Below are 27,430 nucleotides of genomic sequence, written 5' to 3'. Positions count from 1 at the left end.
CATTAGACTGGCACCACATGCATAAACATTCATATATAACATGTAAATTAGAAACAATCTCAGGATTTATATAGAAATTACAGCCACTTCTAGCAAATTAATTCAATGACAGAAAAAGGGTTACTGTCTCTCTTCAAATCAAGAGGGGGAAATATTGGGCAAAGCAGATTTATTTATTCCAGGGTCTTGTTCCTTGCCAGGAGCTGATGTCCCCTTGGCCTGGAGATTTCCATTTTTTTTGTTGGATATGTATTGGTGATTGAATTTACTTTGAATATAGGAGCAGTCAGTGAGGACCATAATGGGCTGTTTTAAGTTATAGCATAGCTAATACAGTCATAAAGTCAATTGGGCTAGAAGAGTTTGCAATAGGGAAATGATGGAAGAAGGCAAGTTAAAATATTCAAGATTATTGAATCTTAGAGCTGCAAAGCCCCAAGAGCGCAAACTTACCATTTCATAGATGAAAATACTGAGCCCCAGAGAAGATGTAGTCCACCCAAGAAAACAAAGAACATGATTGATAAAGTCAAACCAGAAACTGAGTCTTCTCCCCTGTAGTTAAGTGCCCTGAACACTTCATGAAGTCCCTCATCTTTGATATTAAAATAGAATGGGCAAGTGACATTTTCTTGGAGAATTCTGTGCTGAGCTCTTTTGTTGGTGATTTTGCTACTAGGAACTGTGGCAGACTGTCAAAAAGGCCCCAATTCTTCAACTTCCCTGTGTGTCCTTCTCAATGTGACTTTGTAGTCCTTGAATCTGGGCTGGGCAAAGTCACAAACTTGCTTTGGCCAACAGAAGGCAATGAAGTACCAGCCGAGTCTAGACTCCAGAGAACCAAGCAAGTTCCACTGTGCTTCCCCTGCCGGCCACGGAGCTGTGCCTGTGCTAGCCTGCTAGAGGGATGGGGAGACTCACAGGTAGGCTTGCCAGATTCAGCAAACATTTGGGATATACTTACACTAAAAAAGTATCTATTGTTTATCTGTAATTCCAATTTAACTGGGTATCCTGCATTTTATCTGTCAACTGTACACATAGAAGAGCTCCCAGAGACATAGTTCTGTATTAGTCAGCCAAGCCTAACCCCCAAACATATGAGTGAGCCTGGCCAAAATCAGCAGATACATCTTCCCAATCCCTGGTTGATGACAAGTGCACAAGTGAACCCAATTGACACCATCAGAACCGGCCTTAGACTCAATAACAAAAAATCAGTATTGACTGACATGTAGACACTGAGGTTTGGTGGCTGTTTGTTACACAGTATTATTGTGGCAGTAGCTGACTAATACAAGGACCGTCAGTGTAAAAAATGTTCTGGGAAAATAAATTAGATTGGAGTGATCTAATTGGTCACTTCAGATGCGAGTGATCTAATTGTTGTGATATCTCCTATGTATTCTATACAGAAATAGCAGGAAAGCAATATCTTGACATGCATTCCAATACTACAATATCCAGCGTAAGTACACATTAATAGATGTATCTTGTGCGTGTTTCTGCCTTTGTGGGGCCTTGCAATTGTTCTGGCATTTTGTTTTAAATGACCCAGTTTGAGGTTTTACATCTTTGTTACAGAAGAAAATGCCAGAATGAGACAATGTAGCCTTTTCAACTTCCTCTAGCCCTTTGATACGTTCTCTCTGGATTAGTGTTTCTTCTGCTGTTTCTTTTCTGCCTTTATATGACCCCTTTCTCACCCTTCAGGGAGGTGGATGATTTAAGTGAAGGTTGGTTCTCCCTGCCCTGTAATTGTGCTTCATCTCCACTCATGGTTACATTTCCAAAGCTCAGATTCATCTATCAGAGGCCCTGAACTATGTATCTTGTCGTTGTATTAGGTTGGTGCAAAAGGAATAGCAAAAACACAATTTCTTTTGCACTGAGGTTGGTGCAAACCAAGGTTGGTGCAAAACTTTTCAAAGCACATTCACATTTATTACTTCACTGATTCCCCATAATCTCCCCATGAGAACAATTGGGCCAGGCATTGGTATCTCCCTTTGCAGATGAGGAAGCTGAGTCTCAGAGAGTTCAAGTGATTTTCCCAAGGTCACACAGCCTATCTAATGGAAGAATTAAAACTAGAACCCAGATTCTTGTTTCCTAACCTGGGACTCTGTCTGGTATCCTCTGCTGACTCCTTCATTCTGGGGCTTTGGCTAATTGATGTCATAGCCAGGTGTTTGATGGGTACCTGAATAATATTTCTGTCTAGGAGTGATTCGAGTGGAAACAGGGCATTCTTAAAGAGGCCATTAGAAATCCCCAGACCTCCACTAAAGCAGGTTTTGGTGCAGATGACTGACGACTGTATAAATGCCTTCACCTTGTAACAGCCGGTCTCAGCCTCCAGAACAGAGTCCTACATTGTGGATTAATCGCTCCATATCTCTGTTTTAAAATCATGTTATGGTCTTTTAAAGGTATGTTTTAAGATGTAATGTTCTGCAAGGAGACATGGTCCATTTAAAAGCAGTGCTGCTTTAAGGTTGCTGGTTGAGGAGAACAATTGAATGCAGATGAAGGGAAAAGTACCAGGAAACGTCTTTTTCTCTGAATCTATAAAGCAAAGGCATAAGCCACCCACCAAAATGTTAGACTTGCCTTGATTCTTTTTTTTCTTTTTAGAGATGACCTCTTGCTAGGTTACCCAGGCTGGACTTGAACTCCTGGGCTCAAGTGATCGACCTGTTTCAGCCTCCTGAGTAGCTGGGAGTACAGGTGCATATCACCATGGCTGGCAACTTGCCTTGATTCTTTGCTTCATCTGAATTTTGGAAGATTGGTGACATTATCATTGGTATCAGTGGAACAACTATCCTGATTTGCCTCGGATTGAGAGATTTCTTGGCATGGGGGCTTTGAGTGCTAAAACTGAGTCAGTCCCAGGTAAGGCTTGGTCACCCTATCCCATCCCTGCACAGCCCTTTGAGGCAAGCTGACGAACACACCTTTCTCCTCCACCAAGAGGCAGCTCATGTCTCCCACCCTGTCCATCCTAAACAAAAGAATCCTCATACAGGGGAAATACACAATATGGATGTGCTGAAGTAATACAAGAAAGAATGACATGCCCTGGTCTTCCAACACTGGTCTGTACCCAACTAGAAAAGAGGACTGGCTTGGGAATTAGCAGACAAGCTCAATTATTAACTTTTGTGTTAACTTTTGCCAAGCGACTAATTTACTGCCACTGAGTTTTCCTGTCTGTAAAGAGGGGCAACAACTAGAGGTCTCTAAGCTTTCTTCTCCATTATACACTCCAAAGCTTGATTGTATAGGAACCAATACAGTGCCTCCACCCTGCCCGAACTCATTGTATCCTTAAGTCCCAGAAATTGCACACCAAGCCATCTTGGAGGCCTCTCTTTTAGCTCAGCCCAAATAATGAACCCAGCTCAGGGTCAGACATGGGGTAGAGTCTCAGCGCTTTTGCTCAGGGGTAGACCCTTTAGCTTAGTGCTGTCTGATAAAATTTTCTGCAGTGATGAAAATATTCTGCATTTGAACTGTCCAATATGGTAGCCATTAGTCACATGACTATATTTTAAATTTATTAAAATGAAATTTAAATTTTAGTTCCTGAGTCAGAATAATCACATTTCAAGGGCTCACTAGCCACATATAGCTAATGGCTACAATATTGGACAGTGCCAACTGAGAACACTTCCATCATTGCGAGTTGTTCTATTGAGCACCATAGTTTTAGAGGACCATTTTGAACATTTTCTCAGTAGCTGGGGAAGTATCCAGAGTAGAAAAATGAGGAGAAAGACAGGAAATGGGAGGGAAAGTGGCCATCACCAGCAATAAACTTCATCTATTGGCATGGAATTGTGGGAACAATGTAGCCAGCTTATTGGAAATGGGACATCTTAAATCTTATTATAGGCAACAATCTTCCAAAAGTCAATTAAAATGCGTGAAAATATATCCTTCAGTGACACCAAGGTGGAAGTTCAGGCATGGAAACTTTCTTTTCACGAACACCCCTAACTGGGCTAACTCTTTGTTTAACAATAGAAAGCACCAGGCAGTACCATTAATCAGCTAAATGTAAATGTGGAAAATTACTTTTTTTGCAAGAATCATGATAGGAGATTTTTTTCCCCCAAGCATTTTGTAGAATAAAAAAAAATACATGGAAAGTGTTTTGTTTATTATTGAAATAAAGCAAAAATCAAAATTCATGGTTAAGTGTTCAACTCTTGAAAGCAGCATTACTGTCCTTGCTTAGGGAGTAAATAAAGAATATTTTGTAGAATTGGAGCCCCAGTAAGGATGTTGGCAACAAAGCATTGCAATTCCAGCAGTAGATTCTTAGTTCCAACTCTGGCACTGGAATCTCTGTGACCTAGGGCAACTGACTTAATCTCCCTGGCCTCAGTTTTCATCTTGAGTTGGAGAAAGATGGCATTGGACAGGGTCCCTGGCATCATTAACATTCTAGGATCACTTTTGTGACCACATTCCTGACTTCTGCCATAGACATTAATGCTTACATCTTTTATCATAGCCATAAATATTGTTTCTTTTAACACTCACAGATGATCAGTGTTGTCAGTTGCCCTCACTGAAGGCTCCCATAATCAAACCTCTAAGCACTGTAGGCCTGGCAAACCTTCAGGTTTTCTGAAACCCTCATACAGGGGGATACTCAGCATTAAACTACTCTGCTCAGAGTGAGGAGTGAACACCTCTCAGAGAAATAGGAGCCCCAGCAACCGTAGACCTACCCAGAGGTGAGAGCAGAGGCTCCACCCTACTTGTAAGTGCAGCTGTAGTGTTGGAGCCATTTCCAACTTGGCCACTCATCAATGACATGACTTGGAACAAGTCCTTTCACTTCTCCAAACCCCAGTTTCCTAATCTGTAAAGGAATCATAATACTGTGGTTGCAGGCAAGGTAAGTTAGGAAGCTAATGAAGCTTAGGTTTCAGGGTCTCTCACTTGCATGGGCCCCTTTCAAGGCCCTGTGCATTGTTATTATTATTTTTTTTAGAGACAGACTCTTGCTCTGTCACCCAGGCTTCAGTGCAGCCATGCAATCACATCTCACTGCAGCCTGTAACTCCTGGGCTCAAGTGATCTTCCTGCTTCAGCCTCCTGAGTAGCCAGGACTATAGGCGTGAGCCACAGTGCCTGGCCATTTTGACATTTGTATAATTTCATAATCTTTTCCTCAAAGAAGGGCCCCCAAATTATATACGATTCAGGCCCTACAAAACCTTTAGCAAGACGGCACTTGGATACACTGCTGTCTCCTGAAAGAGATTACTCAACAAACAAGATCTGGTGAAGCCAGCCTGGTCTGCAGCTTTTCTGTTTCTTCCAGATGCCATCCTCTCTCACATCTCAGCACACCTGTGAGCAGTGCTGGCCTGTGCCTCTGGACACCACAGGAAAGGTGACACTTATCAGTCACCAGCCCTTCTTGGGCACTACAGTGTGTGTTCTTAGAGGCCACAGAATTATGGAATCTGAGAGCCAAAAAGAACCTCCAGGGACCTTTTACTTTACTCACTCCTTCCAACAGGTGTTCCTTCCTCCCCTTTCTTTCAAATTCTCCCCAAATAGAGATTTCACAGTCTCCTTTAAAAGCCTGGTCTGGTATTACATCATCAATATTCTTAGGGATATTTTCCTTAGGACTAACCCTATTTTCTATTCTAATTCGGATATGACAATGCTTTGAACCTTCTTTTTAGTTCTGTTTTATGCAGATTACTGGACACTTTCACAGACATACTTATGTGTTTTCCTGAACCTACTGAATTAACATCCTTCTTTTAGAAAGAGGTAACTGAGGTTCAAGGTGATACGAGATTTGGCCAACGTAATAGATGGTGGGGTCAAGACCCTGGGAGGAAAGTTCTATTTATTATGGCCATTGTCTCCAGAGGGGGATTCTTGACCTTGGAGATGTCACACAATCTTTGAGACAGCCAAAGTTTATAAACAGCTTGCTTGATTCCCAGGGGCTGTTGTTTCTGTTATAGGATGGCTGTCTCCATTTCTGTCAGCTGCCACTGGCTTTGTCACTAAAGCCTCTTTCCTGGGTCACTGGGCTCAGAATTCTGTTTTTCTCCTTGGTGAAAATCCAAACTTTCAGTGGGGTGCTAAAGGAGGTACTTGTGCCTCAACTCTTCACACACACTACCCCCTCTCCCACCACCATCCCCATTCATTATTTAAAAATGAAATCACAGTCTATTCTTTCTTCATTCATTCATTCCAAAATTATTTATTGGGTGCCTGTTATGGGCATGACAGTAATCCCATAACCTCCCCCAGAATGCAAGAAAGCAAGCATTTAAAGAGGTCTAGATATGGCAAGCGACATCAGCAAGGTGGCAGAAGAGGAAACCCCAGGCCCTCATGTCCCCACAGAGACATTGACTTATCAATAATATGTGGACCAAATTGCTTTTGTGAGAATGCCTCAAGAGGCCTAAATAGTCTGCTTTCTAGAAAAAAGGAATTTCTAGTTATTTAGGCAAACAGTGCACTTAGTAAAAAAAATTTTTTGTTGCTTTCTGTGTGTCAGGCACTAAGACCTTTATGAATATTAATGTAATTTTCACCCAATTCCCATGAGGTGGTGGATTCTATAATTATTTATTATTGTCCCAATGAGGGAAGTAGAGACACAGAAAGGTTACAAACTTGCCTCAGGCAACACAGGTGGCCAGTGCCTGCCACAGAAAATCCAGCAGCACTGTTCCCGGGGCATCGCTCCAGACTGTATTTAAAATTGGAAGCTGGCACAATCTGGGGATGTTTCTGAGCTGTTCAGATGAACAGATGCTTGAGTTATGCTGGTTTTAGGGATCTGCCTTTCAAAACAAAAGTGTGTTCCTCAAAGGAGTAATTGAATTCACCCGGTTTTAACTCTTGATTCAATAAGCAGAAGATAGAGGAAAGGAGCTGGTTTAGGTTTTAGGTCTCTATCTTTGATCCTAACTCTTGCTGGATTTTACCAGACAAAAGAAGAGAATGACCAATTAAAGAGGGGAAAAGGTGATGATTGGGTGAGATCTTTAAGAATACATGTTTATCACAAATGCAACTGAATAGGACTTGAATTTCACCATACTTACACATGGAAGCAGAAACTACCACTGCAAACATTTCCGTATCAGTAATCCATACACTCTGACACAAAAATAAACATTCTATAGATAGACATAGGTATAGATACAATTATAGCTTCTTAGATTTCTCTACAGCTCAGAAAAAAAGGAAGGTTTGGAAAATATTGTGTTGGTGTGAAACTAATTGAGATTTTTGCTATTACTTTTACAAAAATGGCAAAGACCACAATTACTTTTGCATCAACCTAGTAGTTAATGCATAAAATTGGGGAAGAAATTAGAAAAACCTGGGTGGCTTTTTGTTGAGAGCAGGGATTTCTCTGATTCAGCACACTATTGCTCACATTAACCGGAAATATGATAAATGTCTCCCTCCTCCTGTGCCATGGAGGTAGACCTGGAGAAGAATGCACGTGTGAAGATTTGGTTTGCTTGGAAACAATGTGGCATCAATTCTGATGCCAGAGCCTAGAAGTTCTTTTATGGATTTTTTTTTTCAAATGCCTTGATGCCTTTGCAAAAGAGGCTGAAGAAGAGTCAGATGTTTTTGAAAGATCAAATGTGTGTCAGCCCTTCTAGTAAAGCAATAATAATTAATTTCCCCACTGCAATAAAATTGTATAATTAGAATGGGTTGGGTGTGGGTAAAAATAATTTTTCAAACATGGGATGAGCAAATGGAAATGCTTTCTTTTTTTCCAGGCTCTTCCTTTATTTTTGGAGTTTGTGTGAAATATAGAGAGGAAGGGAGCCCATCTGTTTCTGATACTCCTGGGTTTGATGTATCAGAATGTTTTGAAGCAGTAATTTGATGTCTACTAAGTATGCTTCTAAAGTATTTCCCATAAGTTTGAAGCTTATTCCTTTATTGACAGGAAGTTTGTTTTTATGGCATTTTAGGGTTGGTTTGACACTCAGAAATGAAAAAAAAAAAGAGTAATTGGTCAATTTCTAAGTTGCACTATGTTTTAGGTAGGTTTACTTTTGTTGATTAATCTACTGGGAGAAAATTTGAGAAGAAACAAAAATGAATGGAGCTGTAAATTATTATTTTTTTGCATTGCGGTTCATCTTCCCTTCTTCTTAATCCTCCATTGCCAACCTCAATCCCCTACAATATCCCTCCTTTATATTAGGAAAGAGTCACCCCCGGGGAGATGGAAAACAGTTCACAATGTTTTCTATATGGAAACACTTCAGAATGAAACGCAGAGAGTTAGAGGCTCATCCCTGGCACAAAGGTCAGGAGGAAGGAGAACCAGGTGCCACCAGGATGACACCACTGTCTCCTGTACTATCCTCATGACACATTGCTTATCGCTGGGAATATATGTGTGGCAGTGTGAGGGAGTTGTGGGAAGAAGAGGCAGTGCTCAGGGGATCATGCTATACCTGCAAGAAGCACTTCAACGTGGTAAGCCCTCTTCCCTGAGTGCTTCAACTGCAACTTACCTGCTTCACAAGTCTTACACTCCTGCTTCTCTCTGCCATCCCTGAAACTAGGAAAAGGGAGCAGAAAATTTGAAATTCAGTTCTGTCACTTCTTTCTGAGCACTTTGGTACTTTCTGAGGGAATTCTATTCTATTTAGCTCTAAAATTGCTTATCAATACAGAAAAAGCTCCAGTTTGGTGTACATTTTCTACAAATCTTTTGGACATTTCCTAAGGTAATTTTTGAAGGTGCTGAATGGCATACACAACTGCACAGTAGGACTAAGGGATTTGATTCCAGAAGGAGTAATGACTGCTTGGCAGTCCAGGGGGCTTCTCATCACCTCTGTCTGTGGAATGAACTGTGGGCTGACATCGCAGTAGGATCACAATTTTTGGATCATGATTTTTAATTTTTTTAAAATGCTAAGCAGGCTTCTCCAGTCATGGAAGAAGACACTACCTTCTTTAGCTTAGCTCATATCATCACTTCACTTGATTATCATGCCTTTAATTTCTCTCTCACTTTCCTTCAGCTCAACTGTATGCCCATCACTGAGAATAAATGCAATTTGAGTTATTATAACAGTATTTAAGACTATGCAGCCATATGATATATTTTCTACATATACATATATGTTACCTGTAAATAGATAGAGAGAGGATTCAAAAGCTATGCAGCAAACTGAGGAGGAGGAAGTGGGAATGTGGGAACTTCAGCCTTTTAAATGTTTTAATATTTTGGCTTCTAAAAGCAAGATTGCACTTTTGGATCACTTTTATTTGGTTAAAAAACAAGCAACCAATCTGAAGACAAAACAAAATAAAGCAATATAAACACACCAAAGAAAAGGGAAAAAAAGAAAAAAAAAGCAGAAAGAAAAGAAAAAAATGAAAAAAGAAATGAACAAAAAACAACATCTCTCATAGAAATGTGCCCTACAAAGATAGTTACAGCCACTGACAGAGGTGTAAGAATATATGCATTGCAGCACTGTTTCCAATGCTGAAAAATTAGACACAATTTAAACATCTCCTAATATGGAATGTGTTGAATGAATCCAGTTGTGATCATTGAAAGTAGCCCTGTTGGCCAATCTAAATCACCTTATAGAAGAATCCTGGACCACGGGAAGATTTCCATCATCTACCAAGACTAATAAAACACCCCAACAGTTTACAAAACAGAATGTGCAATATTTAACTTTTTGAAATGCAAATACATACACAGAAAAAAGATGTCAAGAATATATATCATCGAATATATATCAAATATATATCAAGATCTGAGTAGTGGTTTTCTTTCGTAGGGAGTGAATTTTTCTTCCCTGCTTTCTTTGTGCTTTTAAATTTTACTACAATGCACATATATTATTTTAATATTTCAAAATATGTATATAGTTTGGAAAATGCACTAGCCCATAGATGACAATTTTTAATATTGATGACTCTTTTAAAAATCAGGACAAGCTGATACCAGATGCAGTGAATTCTCTGACAACTTTATATTTGAATTTTGTCATCAATCTCCTGTTCATTTACCTCTAATATCCCTTGGAATATTCTTATCAATGATACTGACATTTTGTATATGTTGTGGAAGGCAAACTAAAAAGGGAGAGAAAAAACTATAATTATTAAATATATTTTTTCTAGGAGTGATTTTTTTTTTCTTCAAAAATATGTCCCAAACCACCTCTGGAAGTCACAGTACTATTTCAAATTGGCAATTTTACAAAGAAATGTAATTTTGCCTGGCATACTGTTGCTCACCATCATAGTAAATACAAATAACACTCAGATGCTGAGGCATCAAGGACTCTGGAGCCTGTGAACTTATGTAGTAAATATTTTATAATTTTTTCTATACAAAATTCATTTTACAATCTAACTTAAATACATAAGATTGTTTAGTTTTTTGGGGGGTTGAATATGACTTTGAAAAGTCACTTGAACTTTATCTGTCTGATGTGAAGAGAAAAAATTGAGGCAATTTTCAACGTAATCCAAACTTAAAAGAAAAAAAAAAAAACCTTGTTCATTTTACATTTTGGAGACAGACTGTTTCTTTCTCCCTTTAGATACATTTTTGTATTTGTATGGGAAGCTGGTATTCTGGCACTATTTTGTTTTTATTTTTGTATATGACATTTTTATAGCGAATGAAAGTTAAAGTTTTCATAACTGCTTTGCCATCTTTTAGAAACAGCCACAGAATATAACATCCCTAAATACAGTAACTGTTAATAAAGCTGCCACTTATTTTTTCAAGTCTGTTTTCATTACTTGATTATGGCACTCTGGGTACAAAACATAGCTTGTTTTCATGAAAAAAAATGATAGACATATAATTATCTTTCTCTCTCTCTCTCTATATATATATCTCAAATAGTGAATTCATGGTTTTTCTTTTTTTTTGTTTTTGAGACAGAGTCTCGCTGTCACTAGGCTGGAGTGCAGTGGTGCGATTTCTGCTCCCTGCAAACTCCGTCTTCGGGTTCAAGCGATTCTCCTGCCTCAGCCTCCCGAATAGTTTAACTTCTGCTACTACAGGCGCGCACCACCATGCCCAGCTAATTTTTGTATTTTTAGTAGAGACAGGGTTGCACCATGTTGGCCAGAATGGTCTCGATCTCTTGATCTTATGATCTGCCCTCCTCGGCCTCACAAAGTGTTGGGATTACAGGCGTGAGTCACCGCGCCCGGCCCATGGTATTAAATTTTTTAAAAATACCCATAATGAAAGGAACCTGAAACAAACAAAATACCTCTTTCATGTTCTTAATTTCCTTTCTTGGAGATAGTGTTTGTCCACAAAGGCAAATGCAATCTTTTGAAAAGTATATGGAAACAAACACCTTCCAGCTGTGAGCATGTAATTGGTCAATCAGTTCTTATTCAGAGATGTTTTTAAATGTCACTGTGTATTCTTATTTAATTCTTGGATCCCTGCATCCATAAAAATAGTGGCCTAAACTGTTGCTGTTCTATGGAGATATCAATTTCCATGTCTTTTTCTTACAAAACCATACTGGAAAAATGGATGGAATTACCCATTTCACATAATTCGTAAATTTAAATAAAATAACATGGAACACAGATTTCGACTTTCTCACAGTTGGCAATGTAATTTATATATTTGGAACGTGGTTCATTTCTATTATTTGAACCCTCACTTAAATATGTTAGAGTTAGTTATTACTGTAAGCTGAGAGAACCAACATGTAAAAACAGATTGATTTCCACAACCATCTGCCACCACAATGAAATAATTTGGCTTAGAAACTTACAGGATATGTGATATATTATAAACAGTGTATTGTTATGAGTTTACAATTTAATGATAAACAGGGCTATTTGTTTTGTTACTGAAACCGTAATATCAAGATGGGGAACAACTAAATAGAGACTGTAAAATGAAACGGTGAGATATGTACTTTTGCTCAATTTAGAGGCCACAAACATAGCTAATCATGCATTTTGTTAAATACTTGTTTGATGATATTCTTAATTACATGTCCTTTGTGGTTTGCTGCTATTTTCAGGTGCTATTAATAAAAATCAGTATTCCTAAAAGTGCAAATAGATTGGAAGCAGATGCTGTTAGTAAAACATAATTGGGCTAAAGAAAAAATGTTGCAATTTGAAAACAGACCAATGTCTTTTATGTGTTGGTTTGCCGTGATTATGCATTCATGCAGGACTTGAAAGAGGAGTAATCAACAAATGCATATTAAGAAGAATAGAAAATATAAAGAAGAAGCATTTTTGTAAAGCTCAGATAAAATGTTTATTTTATGTGAACAATATTGGAATTGCTGGCATAGGTTACAGAAGTTAAGCTGAACAAGAAAACTTAAATTAGTCTTTGCTACATTAGAATGTTAAAATGCAACTTTTAAATCTTTGAAACATATGCAAAAAAGTAAATTACTTTTGAAAATATTGTTTTAACCCAAAAGATTAATGATTTATATTTATAAATGATAATACTGTGTTTTTAAAAAATGCAAACTGGGAATTTTTTATGGCCAGATCATTATGATATTTTACTTCTACTTTTCAGTAGTTCTGAGTGGTTACTTTATGAATGTGTATTTCTTATAATAAAAAGAAGTTAAAAATATGAATGTAATAAAACTGTGAATTCTTACAAAGTCAAATTATAGTCCAAGCAGAAAATAAGAACAAAATAAATCTGAGCTTTGAGAAGCAAGTTCTTAATATAGAACCCAACTGGAATTTCGTACTAAAGCAAAACAAAAAAATGACCTCACTACTAATACATAGAAAAAGATAGGAAGAAAATATAGGAAACAGATTTACTTACTGATTGTGAGAATACATATAAACATTTTGGGTTTTTCTTGTTATGCCTTTTGGCATTTCTCAGATTTTTTCAGGAACATATATACTTCATAACCAGAAAAACCTTATTCATTAAAGAAAAATGAAAAATAACATGATAGTCTGGTTTAAATAATAAATAGTTTGGGTTTAATGCTTAGTTATATTACTTAAATTATAATAGTACTTTATTCATTACCCCAAAGCTTATTAAAACAGCACTAACACAGTCATATAAAGCTAACGCCTAAAATTAACACTAAAATGTAATTATTTCCTAGTAGATTGTAAAATTAACTTTTTATAATTACTAAGAACCAGGTGTATAAAAGTGCTAATGTTTTATTACTCTACTTTACCTAGAGTTCAATTTCAAATAACAATTTGACAAATTATCAACTGACAATGTTTTTGGCTTTAAGATGGATATACATTACTGTAATTGCTTGGAATATCATAGGAATTAACATTTATTTTTAACACTGAATCACTTGTTAGCAATGGAATAATGTCTCTGGATATAATTTCATGGAGGAGGCATAAAATAATGCCTCAAGTTATTTACTTTTAAGACTACAAAATTAAATATGAATTGAGTTAAATGTAATCCACATACTGATGTAAATTTAAAAAGACAGTAATTAAGCAAATTTTCCTACCTTTGTTACATGTCAAAAAGTATTTAGAAGAATAAACGTTACACCATACTGACCTAACAAGAAAACTTTTCCATTCCCCTTGATCTTATAATTTTCCACAAACCATTATTCTCCACTGAGAGCACTCTTAACTTCTTACTAATACAGAAATTCTTCGGAATCCTCTATCATTTCTGTGCTGGAGGCCCAGAAATTGCAGAATCGGAAAGGTGTAATTTGTTTTCCAGTGGAGAGAGAAAGAATTTTGGCTGTGAATTTTAATTTCTGTTTAAATAAAGGCCCATAGCCTGCCAAAAGAAGTAATTCTTTCTTACTTTTTTTTTCGTGAAACGGCCTTGTTGACAACTCAGATTTTAAAATGTAATCCAAATTAAGGAACAAAGACTTCCAAATTTAATTTGGAGCAAACAAACTACCATAATAACTTTTCTGAAAACTGTAAAAATGTTACCCAGTATAAACGCGCAGACAATATGTTTTAAAACTTAGGTTCCTGAAGATCGTGTTCATCCTTTCATTTTCCAGGTATTTGTCACTTGACATCTTATTTCATAAATCGTGAAAAGGTACGTCTATGTTCAGTTCGACCTAAAACAGGGAAAATTTTTGTAAAAAAAAAAAGAAGAAAAAAGAAAAAAAAAGATCAAATCAATCACAAGAAGAATTCTCTTATTAAAAAACTGTCAACCGAGTATCCCTGGGGCATTTTACTGTTGGAAACAATTTTAACACATACATCATTCATAAGCAATTCATAAATGCTTAGCTCGAAAGAATTTTCCATCCTTTCTCTGCTTCAGTGCAACTCGGCTCTCCCTAGCTCTGCTAGTGGAAAATTAGGAAGACAGGGAATTCATAGCAAAGGAAAAAATGAATTCTAGTGAAGGAATAATTTTTATTGCACAAAAATTTTGCTTCACACACGGCCAGCCAGGAGCAGTGGCCCTTACACAGATTAAAATAAAATTAATTTGGGGGCGGATAGATTGGTGATCTCTACTTATTTCATGTTACAACTCTTAACGACTTGTAAGAACCAACGAAAAAAATGCATTTAGAAACAGAATTCTCTCAAAAGGGCGAATTAAGACGAATTTTTTCAGAAAGCCATTTATTTCCTTCAGGCCCTTGGCTCAGTCTGGCGAGGCTGGCGGGAGACCCGCCCATACCCCCCGGGAGACAGGCGGGACACCGGGTTCTCGAGTTACAAAGCAGCCCTGGGTGCCCGCCCACTATTTATGCAAAATAAACACGCCCTCTTTATTAAACCAGCCAATGATCAAACGGCATCCTGCCCGGCGGGAGGTGGGGCCGAGGAAGGAAGCACTCAGCAAACCCAGCTCCGCGCGCCTCGGCCCGCTCCGCCTCTTCCTCGTGCCCTTCCTCCTCCGTGCTCCGCCCGCAGCTAGGCCCCTCCCACTCAGCTGGCGTCTGTGCGCTCCGGGAAGAGGTGGGAAATTGGGCGGAGCCGGGGGCGGGGGGAGATGCTCGCGGTTTCTCATTTACATGCAGCCACACTATTGGCTTAGGCTGGCGGTGAAAGGACAAATTAGGGGCGGGTAGCTTGTCAAAGTGCACTTCACGGATTGGCTTAGGCTTACGATGACGTAAGAAGGCCGTTTAAGCAAATGAGAGCGCAGGGCTAATGCGCCTCCTCCCTCTCGCCCCACCTCTGTGTGAGCGACCCAGTGAAAGATGAGCCCTTGAGGCACATTCCCTAGTAGATTTAAATGACAAATCTAGAAAGAAGCGGTTTAAATATTTATGAAGAGGCGGAGAGGTGTAGAGTGTCTTCCGGAAACGCTTCTGATTGGCTGGTGTTTTCAAGCAAGTGTTAGCTTTATGAAATGAGTGAGTACCCCCAGATCAATTCAATGATTATGTTTCGTGCTTCGGTTTTTCTTCTTCCAAAAGCGCCACACCATATACATCTATTTATTTTCTCAGTAATTGGTTGCATGTGTGGTCCGAGGGGCTCACTTTTGTCACATTTTCACTCTCAATATATTTTGTTTTTTGTAAATCATGTCTTATTTTCATCAATTTTAAAATGCAAAGATCTGGGACAGATGGAAACAATTAGAACCTCCGCTCTGCTGATGTGTATAATCTTATTAGTTTAATGGGTCACAGGGTGCAGGACCTATTTCCTATAGATCAAAGTGAAAACAAACACGGTTAATATCCCATTTTGTTTTAGAACCACATCGGATCGGGTTCCCTCTCTGGGCCGTGGTAATGACAATATTAAGAGAGCTTGGGTTGCCTTGAAGTTTAGAGGGAAAATTGAGTCATGAAGCATTTTGGTTTAAAAATGCATTGATATTAACACCAGGTAGCCGGTTGCCAGGTCCCTGAGCTCTCTTGCGTTTATCACAACAGCATGGCTTTTTAAAGGATTTCAGTAATGCTCGTTTTGATCTTTTGCCTTAAAGCAAGTGAAAAATCATGCTTATTTGGTTGTTAATTATACCAGTTCTCAGGTTTCCTCTATTCAGGCTCAGTGCAAAACTTCCGAGCCCTTGGTGTAATTTTCAACTATGACTTCTTAATGATTTTTTTTCTTCATCTGTGGATAGTAGTCACAGACTCTTTTCAGAATTTAATTTAAAAAAAAAAGTTAAGGAGCCACATGACCGCCACCCAAAATGCAGCATTTCATTTCAGGGAGTTCCTGACCGCCTAAGGCCACTCCATAGACTCCTAAATATCTGTGAACTCCGGTATCAGAACCCACACCTTAAGGAAATGTCTTTCATATTTTGAGTTGTGTTCGGTTGTGTTATTCCGAGGCCAAAATATAATCTTCTAAGCACCTACGGGGTTGGACCAGAGCCTCTCTCTTCGTGACAAAGACCCCCTTTGGAAACCTCCCGCAGCAACTTCTCACCCCAATAAATTAAATGCAGCCGCAGTGTGGTCCATTACACTGGAGTGTGAGGTGACGGCCCCTGTCAAAGGTGAACGGCCCAGTACAGCCCCTTAAATATTCCTACAGATAATAAATATCTGTGTAAGGAAGGGATGTAAAAGTTTCCTATTCGTTTGGAAAGCTCGGTACTACAACAATGAATAAACATTGCAGACTGATGAATGCCCCCAAGTCCCTCCACAGAGGCGGCGGGGAGAGAACCAGATCTTAAAAAATTTTTCACTCTAGGCCTGGAGGCCGGGTGCTGCGGCCACCCGTGCCTCGACGTGTTCCTCCGCACGGGCTCTAGGAATGTAAATACCACGAGTTGAGACAGGTCTGGGCCCCGGACAGAGCGGTCCGTGGTTTTAGCAATTCATTTTAATTCCGAAGCGGTCCAGTGCATTTGCTTTCACTTGGTTGCGCGGGGCTGGAATTGATAAGAGAGAAAACCATGTACTTGTCCTTGTGGGTTGGGAAACAGGGTCACTGAATCCTGGGCTGGCTCTCACAGCTTCCTGGCAGAGTTCACACACGCACTCAGAGGCTGCGCCAGCCCTGTACCGCAGGACTGCGGGCGCTCCCTTGCCGGCACTCCTCCTTCGGTTCAGAAACCAAAGTGGAAACGCATGGATCAAGTTGCAGGGAAGTCTGACATCTGGGACAGATGTTGCTCCTCTGCCCGTGGCGGTTCCTCAGATAAATCCTCATTGCTTTATTTTAATTTGCCTTTGAATTTCGTTATTTTTGCCTCAATGCAACACATAGTCTTTTTTTTTTCTGCTTTATTTAACTCTCACGGTCCTCTGCGCTATTTTTATCAATGGTATAACTTTATTTTGGGAAAGGGATTATTTCCCCCTCAGAAATGGGGGGAAATAATCAAATCTCCAGTCAATTATGTCTTGAAATTTAACTCTGCTTTTACTGGTCCATCATAAAACATTTAAACCGTTAAAAACATGTCCCTCACTGATCAACTTTAGTTGTTTTGTGTTTTAAAACATGGAAATACAACCCCTGTGTGTGTATGTCACATTACGGACAGACCATATTAATCTCTTTCTCACAGAAAAAACATCTGCGTGTGTGAGTCTAAGTAATTATTCATCTAGGGTAACAAATTCTAGAAGGCTTGACCTACCTTCCTTCCTCCCTTCCTTCCTCCCTTCCTTCCTTCTTTCCTTCCTTCCTTCCTTTTTCTTTTCCTTTCTCTTTTTCTTTTTTTGTGCTTCTTTGTATCTAATACCCAGGGGCATTAACAACATCTCCTCTGCCTCGTCTTCCCGTGTGTAGAGGGACCCGTCTCACGTCCAACAATAGATACCCCTTTTATTATATATTTTTCCTTTTGTTTTTCTTGACCAACAATTTCCCTTCAGTTATTTATTTTAGCTGGGTAACCCCAAGCTATATGCTCCGTGTAAACCAGAATGGTGTGGTCGGTTTTGTGACAGGTAGTGGCTTCCTGAGCTGGCTCTGATGCGCACCTCTGAGGCGAGCCAAGGCGGAAACTGTCATTCCTAGAGGAAAGCGATGCCCGTCTGGGAAGAATCTGGGAAACCCCAGCATTCCTATGAGCTGCGGCCCACTAAGCGCCCCTGACCGCAGTGATCACTGTCTCCTAGATTTTTTGACAATGTTGTTTTGCTTTGTTTTAAAATATTATCGTTACTGCTGAGAAACGTGGACTCTTATGATGAAGACCTGCCGGGCCTTCCCCAGCCATTTCACTCCCTGGCCTCCTCCAAGATGGCTTTCATTTAGGGAGGGTCAGACTCATCTAGGTGACATTTCCCCGAGCCTTTCAGTCAAGTTGGTCTACAAATTCACCAAATTAGTGCTTGGTCTACATCTAGGGCTTCCTGCACGGAAAGGCCAATAGAAAAGTCCACGACTTGACTTTTACGCCACATCACTACAGCCACAAAACGGGGACCTCCTCGGGACTGGAGGCGGATCCTCCACGGGTCCCCGGCCAGGCCCATCCTCCTCGCAGCGCGCCTGGTGCGGCCGTACCAATTCCGCGCCGTGCAGCCTGGAGTTACAGGCCCCGACCGAGCCAAGATCTGAGGCTGCCGGGCCCTCCCTGTTTACTGGGGGCTCTGCTACCGGAAGTCATTTGACAAATCTCAGGCAGGCCTTTCTAATCTTTACTGCTCGGCAGAGCTTTGCAAATCTCTAAACACGCTGTAACCTTCTTCAAACAGCACGCCAGACACACTTGAAGGTTTTTTTTTTTTTTTTGAGGCCGGACGGAATGGAAACTGCATCTGCACGGGATCTCTCCACAGTCTGGCCCGCAACACTGCCAGCACCTTCCCTAGACCCTCGCCTCCCCGCTTCCCCCGCACGCGGATTCTCGCGCATCCGTGCGCCCACTCAGCCCCGGGAGCCCTCCTGCCCCGGGAAGCCTCAGACGGTCTTGGGCTGGAGACTCACCCTGCGCCCCTGCAGCGGGCTGCGGGGAGAGAACCTTGGGGAACCAGGCAGGACCGGCAAGGGTGGACCGAGTGATTTATGACCCTGATCAAACTTTTTAGGAAGCAGAAATTAACCTGAGGGAGATTAGGCCTGAGCTTTGAAGTTCACGGTTTTGTTTTCCTTCAGCCCAGTTCTGCCATCAGATGGTTCTTGGTTCCTTCTACCCCTCTCCTCCTCCCCCTCCTTCGGTCTCTCGTCACCCCACTTTATCCTCCAGCAACCCCTCCTGCGTTGATTTTCTTAATTTCAAATACAAATATCTGAACACCAGAAACTGAAGTTCCTGACAGTGACCTATTGAACAGAGGCATCGCATACTCCCTACATCCCAGTCTTCTTGGAATTGCGTTTTACGTTTGAAAGTGCGATTTTGGTTTGGAGGTCGGGAGTAGAAAATTTGTATCTGTTCTTTTCTTTTGCTGTTTCCTACTTGCCTTTCAATACCCATACTTATTCCGCCCTCGGAGACTGGCCCTTCCCGGCAGAGCAGAAGCGCACGAGGGTTGAGTAACTCTGCAGGTGAGAGCTAATTTTTCAGCGCATCCACCAGATACCTCAGGTTTGTGGATTTTCCCCCTAGTTGGCCAGAAAACTCACACCCAAACATGCAAGTCCTCTATGGCCTCTCCGTCCTCTTACCTTGGCCCTCTTTATTTCCATATCTCCCTCCTCCCCATGCAGATCTCTAAAGGGAATCTGTCTCCTGCGGTTCTTTCCCGCAGGCGCCTGCTGAAAAGGCAATTTCCTTGGGGGTGTGCCTAGGGAGAGAGGAAAACAGAAACCAGGATTGTTTGGGGGCCTGAAACCATCCAAATTTTATTGCATCCGCTACAAAGTCAACTAACTCTTAATGAGCATCCAAGCGGAAAAAGGCCGAAGTTTACTCCGTGTTAGGGCGGGGAATGGGGGTGGGGGTGATGGGAGTTTGCTTATTTCCTTCTGGTACAACCAAAGGTTGCAACACCTTCCTGAGAGGCTCCTCCCAACGCCAAGAGTACGGACGCGAAAGTCAGAAGGCATCGGGTTTCAGCCCCCTGAATGATCCAAGATCACTCCGCCACGAAGACCTTCGAAGTTGGCCCTGTCTACAGCTTGTAATTAAAAGGATAATGTGTCTTGTAATAAAAAACAAGACCCACACAAACAAACCCAGCGTCCAACGGCCCTCCACCTCGCCACACTCTTCTCTAATAAGGGCCAGTGACAAACATTGCCATCCAGTTTAACCCAAAAGGAGGAAGCAGTAGATCTTCCTTTTAATAACTTCCCAAAGTGTTACAAATAATAAAAAGGACGCATAAATCATCGCGGGGGCGGCAGAACGGGGACGACAGAAGGATTTACTCCTCTCTAGCCCTGGCTTCCAACCGCGCTCTCATTGGCTACTTCCTTGTGGCCCGCCCCCGAATCCGCTCTCTTATTGGTGCGTCTGGTCCCAGACGCAGAGACAGGGCGTAGGATCGGTGGGGGCTGGAGTCCACCAGTGCGCATGCGCGCTATGGCGCGCATGTATGATTGACAGCAGGGAGAGGTGTTTGTGCGCGCGCGCGTGCGTGCGTGCGTGTGTGTGTGTGTGTGTGTGTGTGTGTGTGTGTGTGTGTCTCTCTCAGGGTTGAGGCAGCGAAGGTGGTGGTGGCGGGGCGACGGTGAAAGTGGTGGCTGTGAGTGCTGGAGCTGAGGCCGCTTTTGCCGCCGCGGTGAGGTGTAGTCCTGTTTGCCGGCGTTTTCCGCTGAGTCAGAAGCGCTGGTGGTCACAGACTGCGCTCTCACCCACACTGAGGTCGATCTGGAAGGAATTTACTGAGGGGGCTCTCCAGCAGCTGGCTAACCGGGAAGGAAGTAGAACTAGAAGACATGCTTTACTCTTCCTGAAGAAGATACTTAAGCCCCTCAAGAAGAGATTTAATTTGAGCGCTGTGTTGATTTGTGCATTCCTTGTAAAGCACACACTAAATTAGCTTCACATCCCAGCCGTACCTTCATCTGCAGCACACATCTCTCCCCCAGCTCCTCTCAGCACTCACTTAGCCCTGTTCAGTTCCCCTGTAGGCACAGGTACACATATATCAGCCTCTTGTAATCATGAAGACGAGGGACGAACTTACAAAGACACCCGGCACACTGTGACAATCCTTAACTGGGAGAAAAAAAAAAGAGAGAGAGAAAGCAAAGAAAGGTAGAATAAGAGCAAGAAAAAAAGAAAAGGAAAGAAAACTAGAAAGATGCAGCAACCAGTAAAACGATGGTGGCAAAGATAAAATGCCGATGGAAAAAATCCGTTAAATGCAAAGTTTGAAAAAAACTTCCTAACTCGGTTAATGCTGTGGAAATAATTCCAGTTCATCTCAGTGCTAGTGAACGCCTAGTACAAAATTCTTCAGAGGCGAGGGCTGGCTTAGTGCAGAGGAGAAACGTCGCTCCGTTGCCCTGTTGCATCCAAATTCTCCTTTCAGACAAGTTTCCGCGGCGTGATGGAGATGGGCAGAAGTCTGGAGAGTGCTTTCCTATTATAAGCTGTTAACTTGTTGGTTTGTACTCACATATATTTTAAAGAAATAATAAACATCTTATAGTTCTGCACATATTCTAAATTACAGTGGTTCTAGAAGAATTTTGTAACTGACAAATTAGAGCTTCGGTTTTACGAATTCTGAATTTTAAAACCGGTAATGACTTCTCAGTCCCTGAGATCCTCTTCTTTGTTTTTTTATTTTGGGGTGTGTGGGTACGTGTAAGATGAGAAATGTACAAACACAAGTATTTCAGAAACTCCAAGTAATATTCTGTCTGTGAGTTCACGGTAAATAAATAAAAAGGGCAAAGTGACAGAAATACAGGATTATTAAAAGCAAAATAATGTTCTTTGAAATCCCCCCCTTGGTGTATTTTTTATCTTAGGATGCAGCACTTTCAGCATGCCCAAGTATTGAAAGCAGTGTTTTTACGCTACCACGGTAATTTTATTTAGAAACCCCATGTTCACTTTTAGTTTTAAAATGGTCTTTATGACATAAAATTATCAGCATTCATATTTTTGTGTTTTAATATTCCTTTGGCTACTTATTGAAACAGTAAACATTACGAAAATTAGTAAACAAATCTTTGATAGTTGCTTATTTTTGTTTAATTGAATGTTTATTTTATTAGGTAAATATACAATCAAATTTATTTAAAAATAATGAGGAAAAGAATACTTTTCTTTCGCTTTGCGAAAGCAAAGTGATTTTTCATTCTTCTCCGTCCGATTCCTTCTCTTCCAGCTGCCACAGCCGACTGACAGGCTCCCGGCGGCCTGAGGAGTAGTATGCAAATTTTGGATGATTGACACCTACAGTAGAAGCCAATCACGTCAAAGTAGGATGCTGATTGGTTGACAACAATAGGCGTAAACCTTGACGTTTTAAAAACCTGACACCCAATCCAGGCGATTCATGCAAATAAAGGAAGGGAGTCACATTACCAGGGGCCAGAGAGACTTGAGTACGACCTCACGTGTTCAGTGGTGGATATTGCACAGACGTCTGCAAGGTCTATATAAACGCTACATAATGTTCAACTCAATTGCTTGCCTTGGCCTTTCCCAAACTTGTCACTGGAATATAAATTATCCCTTTTTTAAAAATAAAAAAATAAGAATTATGTAGTGCACATATATGATGGTTCATGTAGAAATCTAAATGGACTTCCAACGCATGGAATTTTCCTATTTCCCCCTTTCTTTAAATTAATCCTCAGTGAAGGAGGCTGTTTTCCCCTAGATTTCAAAAGGACGAGATTTACAGAGCCTTTCCTTGGAGAAACCCGCTCTAGGCACAGATGGTCAGTAAATTTAGCTTCTTCAGCGAAGTTCCACATGGCACCGCCAGATGGCATAAGGATCCCCTTCTCACCATCTCCACCCCCACCTTGTACCCTGCAAGTAATTTAGAAAAATTGAAAACCAAACACTTTTATATTTTATAACTAAATGAAGTGAGAACATACTGGCACTGTTAGAGAGCCACATATTACAAAAATAAGCTTTGTTGGTTGTTGCTTTAATGTGAAACTTCCTCCGGAGATTTTGCCCAGGAAAGTTTGCGAGTAAAATATTCATCCAGTGAAAGTGTTTGCAAAAATATTTCCTTAAGCGAAGTAAGCACCTTAAGCACGCTTTAAAAAGGTAAGAGTAAGAGGCCGCTGCGTTTCTGAGCGTGGTGTTTGCAGGGCCGGGCGAACTTTTTAGGGACTAAACTGAAATCGAGGGGGAAACTCAGTTTCCCAGCGAGTGGTCTCACTGGAGCAGAGCCTGGCCGGAGCCACAGGGCCGAGGTTGCATCTCTGCTTTCTCTGCTTTCCGATCCAGTTGCTGTTAGAGCAGCGTTGCTTTTTTAGGAATTCATTTTGGGGTCCCTATGACAGATAGGCAAGACTTTCTTTCCACTCACAAGTCACTGTAGTAGGGGGCAGAATCTTTGTTTTGCCAACCTCGGCGGGGGATTTGAGGGTGGAACCCTGGAAAGTGTAGACCTCCACTTCTCATCTGCCTCTCCTTTTATATCTGCTTTTCTGTTTGGGTTTATCAGGAAGAGAAGGGTTCGTGCTGTCCCCACATCAAGGTCAGAATAAGAACTTACGGTATTTGCAGAGGGAGACGGGAGGAAAGAAGAAAATACTGTACTCAAGTGAGAAGTTTCACAGCTTTAGATGTACATTTTTACATTTTACAGGTCGACAGCTCTCTAGCTGGGAAACTTCATGACTTCTTCTCCCATTTATACAAGCAGAATAATTGCACACTCACTTTTGATTACTCTACCCTATAATTATGCATTTTAAAATTGCAACCGGCCTTTAAAAATAAGTCTACCTAAAAAAATCTTTCAGAATACAGCCATTAGCCCTCATTTTACAAGAAGGTGGATTCATTGGATCTGTTGTTTTGTGCTCTGTCGGTTGACTTTTATTTAGCCAGAAACTAATGAGTTGGGTGCCGACGTTTACTTATATCTCCCTCTGACATCCTAACTGTGGGTGAATTTTCTAGCCCAGCACCAGATCCTTAGTGTCTGCAGGGCAAGAATCTGCACATTTTCACCAGCCCCTGTTTCTAGTGACCAACTTCGCAGGCTGTAGGAAAACTCATCCTACCCAGGCACATATAAGCAAAAAAAGTAGTAACACTTTTTAGTTTAGAATCAACACTTCTGATTCGTTAGTTCAAGTTGAAACCATACGTTTCTTATTTTATTTCACTATCTGGCTTTTTTTTCCTCTTGAAAAAGATCGGAGGGTATCAATAGTAAAACTGAAGTAAGAATTGCTAAAAGTAAAGCAAGAATTTTAGGGGGTACTTTTTTCCCTTAGGTGGTAAGAAGGAAGACCTGAAGGAACGAGTCTTTTAAAAGAGAACCTTAAGTTTCTAAGCACAATCTTGCTCTCTTAATATTTGTCTTCTGCCCTGCAGAAAACGGGGCAAAAAGTGTTTAAACAAATGGAGATGGGACCTGTGGGCTGTCCAGGCGTGGCTTAGGACTCGGGAGCTATCAGCTCCCCTCCCGAATCTCTGCTTCTAAGTCTCTTTTGCAGCCCCCCAGTAAAGGCGGGCCCCAGGTGGGAATTTGGCGATCCCGGCGCGTGGGGACGACTGCGCTGGGGCGCGGGGCGCTCCGGGTGCAAAGGCCCAGGCACAGGGCGGCGGGCGCAGGGGCAACGGTCCCAGGGCGAGGGATGCCGCTGTCCCCAGCTCTCCTGAAACCCACTCCCGGGCGAAAACGTGGGCAGAAGGCGGGAAAACGCCGCAGCCGGCGCTCAGAGCAAGCTTCCAGCAGACGCGGGAAGTTGAGGCTCGGCGCCCCCGCCCCCACCCCAGCGCCCAGTCTCCGCTCCCCTTCAGGGCCTCTTCCGGGCTGAGTCCTGGGAGTGGGTTTCCCCGGCCGCAGTGATTTTGCAAGAGTGCGGCCGGCCGGCTGTAAATCAGCCTTTCTCCACTCCCGGGGGGCAGCCCTCCCGAGCCGGGGCGGGGGCGCGGAGGACGCGGGGGCCGGGCCCATGGCCACCCTAGGCCCTCGGCCGCAGCTGGATCGGCCGCCTCCGGCGAGGCGGCGGGGGTTAAACGCCGTGAATCCATCAATCAAGCGCACCGCCGCCCTCGCGAAACCCGGAGCACCGCCCGCGGGGCCTGCTTTGTGTCTCGCCCGCCCGCCTGCCCGGGGCCTGGGAAGCAGGGTCGGGCCGCTCCAGAGTCCGGGGGGCGCGGCGCATTCCCACGAGGGGCCGGGGCGGCCTGAAGGCTGCTCCACCCAGTCCCACCCTGTAACGGGTTCACTGGGGCCTGGAACACAAATCTCCCAGGCTGCTGGTTTCCTTATTTGATCACTCCTTTGCGTCTTCAACAGAATAAGGCCAACTCATCACACTTTCCCGGCCGCCTGGAGCCCCGAACCCTGTCATCCCCCAAAAGCAGCATGACCAGGGTTGGTGAGATTAGCCATAAACAACCAGATGATGTGACTGGGCAAATCACATCATCTCTCTGTGCCTCAGTTTCTCGTCTGTAGAAAGAGGGGGCTGTTTTAGGATCTCCGCATTTTTTTGTACAGCTCTAATGTTCTTTTGTTTTAGGTGGAGAAGCCTGAACCCTTTTTGCCGGACAAATGTCCCCAAGTTCCCTTTTCTTCCACGTTTATTTTCGTACTGCCGGTTCCTTCCCTCCCCACCCGCGAGTCAGCCCCACTGCGTCCCAGAGAGCAGCTCCAGCCCGCAGGGCAGGACACCTGAGCCTCGGAGCTGAGCCCTGGCCGCGTTTGTCTCGGAGAAACCACCAGGGGGCAATAGAGCCCAAGGATAGAGGAGCAAGGCTCCACAAGGCCTTTCCAAAAGTTTGTCCAATTTGGCGTGAATTCCTTTTTCCAGTTTGTGTGATTTGTAAATTGCGCAGAGTGATTTCAAGATCCCCCGTTTGATCATTAGCGCTAAGGTAGATGGATGCAGCCCGGGGTTCATAAAGAATGAGGCACAAAAGCACTAATGAAGAGCAGGCTAGCGCACCCGCAAGACCTAATGGCAGAACAAAATGGGGCGAACGTGAACAAAGCTCACTTGAAGTGCAAAACTTTGGTTCTAAGGCCATGCATACAGTGGGTTCTCAGGCCATGGGGCAAAAGGCATGGAAACAGTGGGCCGCACGCCGGTGTGTCTTTTCCTAAGTTTTGCAAATATCGGGTTCGTTTTGCGATGGTGAAGTGGGAGGTAGCCCGGGAGGTGAGAGAATGCAGAGGAAATCAGTTAAGAGAGATTCTCCTGATAGGAAGAGGAGGTGGCGAAGGTTTAGGTTAGAGAACCCCAGTTCTTCATGCAGCAGCCACCTTCGCCCATCCTGGGAAGTTTCTGTCTGCCTGTAGAGCAGAGCCGCATCCCTGCCGCTGTCTCCGAGGGCAGTGTCGGATGGTTCTTTCATTTGTTTCCTGAGAATGGTTTACAATATAGATTAGCGGGGCCCCAGAGGAAACTGGGGTTTGCTCACTGCAAACAGCCAAAAGATCTTCAAGAGAGAACGTGTTAGGCTGGAATATCATCTTTTCCCACATGTGCAAGACTCTTGGATTGTGTTTGCTTTCAAAATCCATAAATGTTTTTATTAAACTATATCTTTCTTGTGGCCCCTGCGCACACAAAGTACTTGCAGCATATGTAAACGCTTCCATTTTGGTTCTCCTTCAGGAAAATTTTGTAACTCCGCAGTAAATATTTGCTCTGGGGTGAACCTTGGCAAGCGATAAACTCCAAAATCTGGTTTCACTGTACGTGTTTGTGTGCACATGTGTATGTTTTAACAGTATGTATATATTGGAAAATTTGCGGGAGAGCTTGATATTTTTACTTCTTTGCTGCGCCGCAGGAAAGTATAATGACTGTAATTACTTGGATAACATTTTAAAATTAACCAAATTCTCTTTCACATTCGATTCTTCCTTGTGTGCTGCCAGCCCTTCCTCCCAAATCATGTCAATTAAATATTCTTACAATGTCACCCTTTATAATGCCTTTAGTGTAGTGATTTTGGGGGTATATTTTAAAGTGATAAAGTGCAGTTTTGCTTCCTAAATTCTGTCTTAATAATAAGAATGTAAAAATTAAACAAATCATGATCTTTATTATTCTTTTATGTTTATAGTTTCTTTTCCTCTAATGCTTTAATCTGTAAGCCAAAAAATTTCAGAGAGATAAATGGAGACAGCTCAGTAGCATGGCAGGCAGAGTCAGGATTTTGGATTCTCATCCCTGAAGAAAAACTTGAAGTTATTCCTCTGTGATGAAAAATACTTTATTTTTATGAAGAAATGGAATCTGCTGAGGTTGAATAAATTAGAAAACTCTATGGAAGATCATTAAAATATGAAAACTGTTAGCATTGGGCTGTGTGTTAGTCATCTTTAAGAGAATAATCGGGAATTATTAACTGACTTTGACCTCATGAGCCTTGACATAATAACTGTGGCATTCGCGGTGTCCC

The 27,430-nt window shown here is 42.0% G+C and overlaps 3 annotated features.

Annotated features, from left to right (window-relative positions):
- Positions 14,771-14,880: a silencer, noted in NCBI's record as "silent region_18026". NCBI's record gives its function as "represses an Ori minimal core promoter by ATAC-STARR-seq in GM12878 lymphoblastoid cells {active_cell/tissue: GM12878}" and the evidence as "EXISTENCE:reporter gene assay evidence [ECO:0000049][PMID:35858748]".
- Positions 20,719-20,798: an enhancer, noted in NCBI's record as "active region_25770". NCBI's record gives its function as "activates an Ori minimal core promoter by ATAC-STARR-seq in GM12878 lymphoblastoid cells {active_cell/tissue: GM12878}" and the evidence as "EXISTENCE:reporter gene assay evidence [ECO:0000049][PMID:35858748]".
- Positions 25,688-25,737: a silencer, noted in NCBI's record as "silent region_18025". NCBI's record gives its function as "represses an Ori minimal core promoter by ATAC-STARR-seq in GM12878 lymphoblastoid cells {active_cell/tissue: GM12878}" and the evidence as "EXISTENCE:reporter gene assay evidence [ECO:0000049][PMID:35858748]".

Source organism: Homo sapiens, chromosome 7, assembly GCF_000001405.40.
Source record: "Homo sapiens chromosome 7, GRCh38.p14 Primary Assembly".
NCBI lineage: Eukaryota > Metazoa > Chordata > Mammalia > Primates > Hominidae > Homo > Homo sapiens.
This window is presented reverse-complemented; position numbering and strand designations above follow the sequence as displayed.